Source organism: Homo sapiens, chromosome 10, assembly GCF_000001405.40.
Source record: "Homo sapiens chromosome 10, GRCh38.p14 Primary Assembly".
NCBI classification, from domain to species: Eukaryota; Metazoa; Chordata; class Mammalia; order Primates; family Hominidae; genus Homo; species Homo sapiens.
The window spans coordinates 117,835,605-117,842,287 of NC_000010.11; the positions used below are offsets into that span (position 1 = coordinate 117,835,605).

The 6,683-nt window shown below is 44.4% G+C and overlaps 1 annotated feature.

The window, feature by feature from the left end:
* Window positions 2,649–3,435: an enhancer, noted in NCBI's record as "H3K27ac-H3K4me1 hESC enhancer chr10:119597764-119598550 (GRCh37/hg19 assembly coordinates)". NCBI's record gives its function as "activates a minimal SCP1, AML or CMV promoter by ChIP-STARR-seq in primed H9 embryonic stem cells {active_cell/tissue: H9 hESC(primed)}" and the evidence as "EXISTENCE:reporter gene assay evidence [ECO:0000049][PMID:30033119]".

Sequence of the window (6,683 nt, forward strand, 5' to 3'; positions counted from 1 at the left end):
TAGTCTTGGGAGAGTGTATGTGTCAAGGAATGTATCCATTTCTTCTAGATTTTCTAGTTTATTTGCGTAGAGGTGTTTGTAGTATTCTCTGATGGTAGTTTGTATTTCTGTGGGATCGGTGGTGATATCCCCTTTATCATTTTTTATTTTGTCTATTTGATTCTTCTCTCTTTTTTTCTTTATTAGTCTTGCTAGTGGTCTATCAATTTTGTTGATCCTTTCAAAAAACCAGCTCCTGGATTCATTGATTTTTTGAAGGGTTTTTTGTGTCTCTATTTCCTTCAGTTCTGCTCTGATTTTAGTTATTTCTTGCCTTCTGCTAGCTTTTGAATGTGTTTGCTCTTGCTTTTCTAGTTCTTTTAATTGTGATGTTAGGGTGTCAATTTTGGATCTTTCCTCCTTTCTCTTGTGGGCATTTAGTGCTATAAATTTCCCTCTACACACTGCTTTGAATGCGTCCCAGAGATTCTGGTATGTTGTGTCTTTGTTCTCGTTGGTTTCAAAGAACATCTTTATTTCTGCCTTCATTTCGTTATGTACCCAGTAGTCATTCAGGAGCAGGTTGTTCAGTTTCCATGTAGTTGAGCGGCTTTGAGTGCGATTCTTAATCCTGAGTTCTAGTTTGATTGCACTGTGGTCTGAGAGATAGTTTGTTATAATTTCTGTTCTTTCACATTTGCTGAGGAGAGCTTTACTTCCAACTATGTGGTCAATTTTGGAATAGGTATGGTGTGGTGCTGAAAAAAATGTATATTCTTTTGATTTGGGGTGGAGAGTTCTGTAGATGTCTATTAGGTCCGCTTGGTGCAGAGCTGAATTCAATTCCTGGGTATCCTTGTTGACTTTCTGTCTCATTGATCTGTCTAATGTTGACAGTGGGGTGTTAAAGTCTCCCATTATTAATGTGTGGGAGTCTAAGTCTCTTTGTAGGTCACTCAGGACTTGCTTTATGAATCTGGGTGCTCCTGTATTGGGTGCATGTATATTTAGGATAGTTAGCTCCTCTTGTTGAATTGATCCCTTTACCATTATGTAATGGCCTTCTTTGTCTCTTTTGATCTTTGTTGGTTTAAAGTCTGTTTTATCAGAGACTAGGATTGCAACCCCTGCCTTTTTTTGTTTTCCATTTGCTTGGTAGATCTTCCTCCATCGTTTTATTTTGAGCCTATGTGTGTCTCTGCACGTGAGATGGGTTTCCTGAATACAGCACACTGATGGGTCTTGACTTTTTATCCAACTTGCCAGTCTGTGTCTTTTAATTGGAGAATTTAGTCCATTTACATTTAAAGTTAATATTGTTATGTGTGAATTTGATCCTGTCATTATGATGTTAGCTGGTGATTTTGCTCGTTAGTTGATGCAGTTTCTTCCTAGTCTCGATGGTCTTTACATTTTGGCATGATTTTGCAGCGGCTGGTACCGGTTGTTCCTTTCCATGTTTAGCGCTTCCTTCAGGAGCTCTTTTAGGGCAGGCCTGGTGGTGACAAAATCTCTCAGCATTTGCTTGTCTGTAAAGTATTTTATTTCTCCTTCACTTATGAAGCTTAGTTTGGCTGGATATGAAATTCTGGGTTGAAAATTCTTTTCTTTAAGAATGTTGAATATTGGCCCCCACTCTCTTCTGGCTTGTAGGGTTTCTGCCGAGAGATCCGCTGTTAGTCTGATGGGCTTCCCTTTGAGGGTAACCCGACCTTTCTCTCTGGCTTCCCTTAACATTTTTTCCTTCATTTCAACTTTGGTGAATCTGACAATTATGTGTCTTGGAGTTGCTCTTCTCGAGGAGTATCTTTGTGGCGTTCTCTGTATTTCCTGAATCTGAACGTTGGCCTGCCTTGCTAGATTGGGGAAGTTCTCCTGGATAATATCCTGCAGACTGTTTTCCAACTTGATTCCATTCTCCGCATCACTTTCAGGTACACCAATCAGACGTAGATTTGGTCTTTTCACATAGTCCCATATTTCTTGGAGGCTTTGCTCATTTCTTTTTATTCTTTTTTCTCTAAACTTCCCTTCTTGCTTCATTTCATTCATTTCATCTTCCATTGCTGATACCCTTTCTTCCAGTTGATCGCATCGGCTCCTGAGGCTTCTGCATTCTTCACGTAGTTCTCGAGCCTTGGTTTTCAGCTCCATCAGCTCCTTTAAGCACTTCTCTGTATTGGTTATTCTAGTTATACATTCTTCTAAATTTTTTTCAAAGTTTTCAACTTCTTTGCCTTTGGTTTGAATGTCCTCCCGTAGCTCAGAGTAATTTGATCGTCTGAAGCCTTCTTCTCTCAGCTCGTCAAAATCATTCTCCATCCAGCTTTGTTCCGTTGCTGGTGAGGAACTGCGTTCCTTTGGAGGAGGAGAGGCGCTCTGCGTTTTAGAGTTTCCAGTTTTTTTGTTCTGTTTTTTCCCCATCTTTGTGGTTTTATCTACTTTTGGTCTTTGATGATGGTGATGTACAGATGGGTTTTCGGTGTGGATGTCCTTTCTGTTTGTTAGTTTTCCTTCTAACAGACAGGACCCTCAGCTGCAGGTCTGTTGGAATACCCTGCCGTGTGAGGTGTCAGTGTGCCCCTGCTGGGGGGTGCCTCCCAGTTAGGCTGCTCGGGGGTCAGGGGTCAGGGACCCACTTGAGGAGGCAGTCTGCCCGTTCTCAGATCTCCAGCTGCATGCTGGGAGAACCACTGCTCTCTTCAAAGCTGTCAGACAGGGACATTTAAGTCTGCAGAGGTTACTGCTGTCTTTTTGTTTGTCTGTGCCCTGCCCCCAGAGGTGGAGCCTACAGAGGCAGGCAGGCCTCCTTGAGCTGCGGTGGGCTCCACCCAGTTCGAGCTTCCCGGCTGCTTTGTTTACCTAAGCAAGCCTGGGCAATGGCGGGCGCCCCTCCCCCAGCCTCGCTGCCGCCTTGCAGTTTGATCTCAGACTGCTGTGCTAGCAATCAGCGAGACTCCGTGGGCGTAGGACCCTCCGAGCCAGGTGTGGGATATAGTCTCGTGGTGCGCCGTTTTTTAAGCCGGTCTGTGAAGCGCAATATTCGGGTGGGAGTGACCCGATTTTCCAGGTGCGTCCGTCACCCCTTTCTTTGACTCGGAAAGGGAACTCCCTGACCCCTTGCGCTTCCCAGGTGAGGCAATGCCTCGCCCTGCTTCGGCTCGCGCATGGTGCGCGCACCCACTGGCCTGCGCCCACTGTCTGGCACTCCCTAGTGAGATGAACCCGGTACCTCAGATGGAAATGTAGAAATCATCTGTCTTCTGCGTCGCTCACGCTGGGAGCTGTAGCAGACTGTTTCAATGTTCATAAATCGCGTGGTACTCCAGAGCGTCTGAAAGTTCCCCCAGGGACCTTACTCAAACGCCGACTCTGGTTCTATAGGTTCTGAGGTTCTGGTTCTGAGGTTCTTCATGTCTAACCAGCTCCCTGGCGATGCTGTTGCTGTTGGTCTTTGTACCACATTTCGAGCAGCAATGCCTAAAGCCTCTTACCTGTAAAGGATTTCCAGGTACTTAGCAGAAAGCCCAGCTTCTCTCCCAGTATTAGCTGACGGGCCTGTTCCCTCATTTTCTGGAGGGGAGAGACCATCTTTTCAAGGTCAAACTGAACGCAGAGGCAGGGCTGTGGCTGCCCCAGCTCCGTGGCTGCCCCAGCTCCAAGGCTGCCTGGATCTCCACCCCAGAGGCAGCTGCCGGCTTGCTGGTGTGACCTCAGGCCCCCTCCTGGCTCCCCATCGGTGTACTGCGGTTACCCTGGCCATTCTGTGGTAAACCAGAAAGCCTAAATTTGGCAAAGTGATGCATGTGATATTGGAAGCCAAAGAAACAAAGTAAGGAGGGACTAGAAAATTATGTGGCCAAGTTCCTGGCCAAATTCTGTTGCCTTCACAATCACTCCAAATTTGTCTTACTTTGCCGTAGAGACCAGGCCTGAGGACTTCCTGAGGAGAAACTGACATGACCAGGGTGAGATGCTCCCGCTGTTGGACGTCCTCCATGGAGAGCTGGGCGGAGACCTCCACCAGCCTCAGGGGCATAGACTCAAGTTCCTGTTCCTTCACCATAACCCACATCATCTGTGAAATTAGGGCTGTTTCTCCCAGCCTTTGCATTTATCTCAAGCTTTGTGATACACTTCCCTTTTCTTTGTTCTTGCTATATCTGTGATCTTGGTCAATTTACTTAACTTTCTGGGATCCCCAGTGTTCTTATCTGTAAAATGGGGTAATAGTAGCCACCTCATTCAGAGGGGTTCTTAAGGGTTAAATGAAGCAATAGTTAGCAGGGAGGCTTCCACATAAGTTCTCTGGAAGTTATTTGATCATACAAAGGATCATTCCCTTGGTTGTGTGGGACATTTTGAAAAGCATATGGATTAGGGGTAGAAGAGACCTCAGAAGGTGTCTGGATCATTCCACCCTATTTTACAGATGAGGAAACTGAGGCTCACAGAAGTCACATGACTGCCGCAAGGACACTCTTGGATAGTAAAAATCCAAGCATGGCCTGCCCCAGATCTAACTGTTTTGGATTTCCACACATATGTATTGCATATATTTGTAAGTTGCCTTAAATCCTCTTTGAACCAAGATCAGTTAAAAAGAGACTGCTGATTTGACAGCCTTTCCACACCATGTCTCCTTCCTGAGATAAGGGTCCTCAGGAATGGTAAGTCCTGGCCCTCATGGGGCTGTTCCCCACTCCTGGGCTCACAGTAGACACTACTGATCAGTCACGTCTGTTTTGCCTCTGAATCCACAGCCTCAGCATCTTCAGCATGGGCTTCCAGAAGGCCTCTACCAGCTGGCCAATCATGATCCACGTGTAAACACTTCCCAGACCCCGTTTCCCCTTTTCTGGTTCCTATAATCACAGGCCTTGGGAGCAAGCTTTCAGAATGCACCTAATTGGTTTACCTGCCACCAGGTAGAATCAGGTAGAATCTAGCCCTTCTGCCTAGACCACTTGGTGACCACTTGGTCACCTGGCCACTCCTGGCTGCCAGGAGGCTAGGAAACACAGTTTTGTTGATACGAAAAGAGAAAGAGTGAATATTTGGTGAATCCCCACAGTCTCTGCCCTGAGGAATGACATTGTTGTTCGTTCTGAAAAGAATTCCATTCATTAATTCCCATGGTGGCTGAAGAATCCTTTACCCATCAGCCTGGCTTTTTGCCTTCCAGTTCCTTCCCTGGGACACAGTGTATGTGGTATAGTGAGGGGCGTATTTCTTACTCCTCTAGGACTAGGAGTGATAATTTATAAAATGGCCATAAACCTGGTTACATGATTGAATTATCACAAGAAGATGAACACAAGGAGGTGTTCGTCTTCCCCTAAATGGAATAGGGAATTGGGTATATGGTATCCCCGTGGCTGAAAGTGGTCCAAATACAAATGTCTGATAATATGTGAATTTGCAACAGCAGCGGGGTGTTTGGTGATCTCAAATTTTTCATCAGGCTTTTTATCAGCTCAAGTGATTTTATTTTTTTATTTTGTTTTATTTTATTGAGATGAAGTTTCACTCTGTTGCCCAGGCTGGAGTGCAGTGGCACGATCTCAGCTCACTGCAACCTCCGCCTCCCAGGTTCAATCGATTTCTGGCTAATTTTTGTATTTTTAGTAGCTGTATTGGCCAGGCTGGTCTCGAACTCCTGACCTCAAGTGATCTGCCCACTTCAGCCTCTCAAAGTGCTGGGATTATAGGTGTGAGCCACTGTGCCCAGCCAGCTGAAGTGATTTTAAATGAATAATAATAGTCATGTTATGTTTCTGGTTATATCCAAATAAGTAGAAAAATAGAATCCTGCTCAATAATGGTTTCTATGTAGTTTAACTCGGGATGGTCCATTAAGGCCTTACAGTTTTTGCATAGAGCATTTCCGTAGCCAATCACATACCCACCTTGAAGATGGATGGAATACACAGCAGTTTCAAACTTGGGAGCAAATTTTAGTCCCCTGTTTTGAAACCAAAGATGACTTAAATAATACTTTTTTTCTCATCAATGCCAAGAACCCAAGTAATTTGATGTCTCAATCAGTTGCAGTTGCTGCACTTGGAATTTGAAAATGTTTCAGAATCTTCAAGTCAGTTAGGGGCTAACTACAGTTTCAAAAAAATGACAGTGCCTGTGCTTATGCTGAAAGTGCAGGAAATCCCTGCTTTAGGAAGTTTTGCCAACAGTCAAGCCCAGAGCACCCTACAAAGGAATATCTAGGACAAAACTCCTACCTGTGGCTTAATCAACCCCTGCAGAGCAGAGTCATTTAGATAAAAACTCCCACTCCATTCAACCATATCAGTAAGTGTTACTGAGGACATCAAATTAATTTCTGAGCAAATAAGCATCCTTCTTATTTAACGCCCTTTACCCTTCAATATAACAGTTGGTATCAAGAGAAGTTAATTCCATCTGCAACATTGAATCCATCCAAGGCTTTCCTATAACTTGGATAGAGTCACGTCTTTCTCCTGTTTAAGATTATTCAACATGTTCTTTTCATGGAATAAAATCCAAACTCTTCGTAATAGCATTTTAAGTGCTATTTTAAGTTTGGCCCTCAGCTCACTTTATTATTATAATTGTTACTACTGAGAAAATTACCCCAACTACCATTATTACCTCTATTCCTGGTGCTTCGACAGAATGCACCTGTCTTTGACCAAACATTCACTATACACAATCATTCTGCAAGG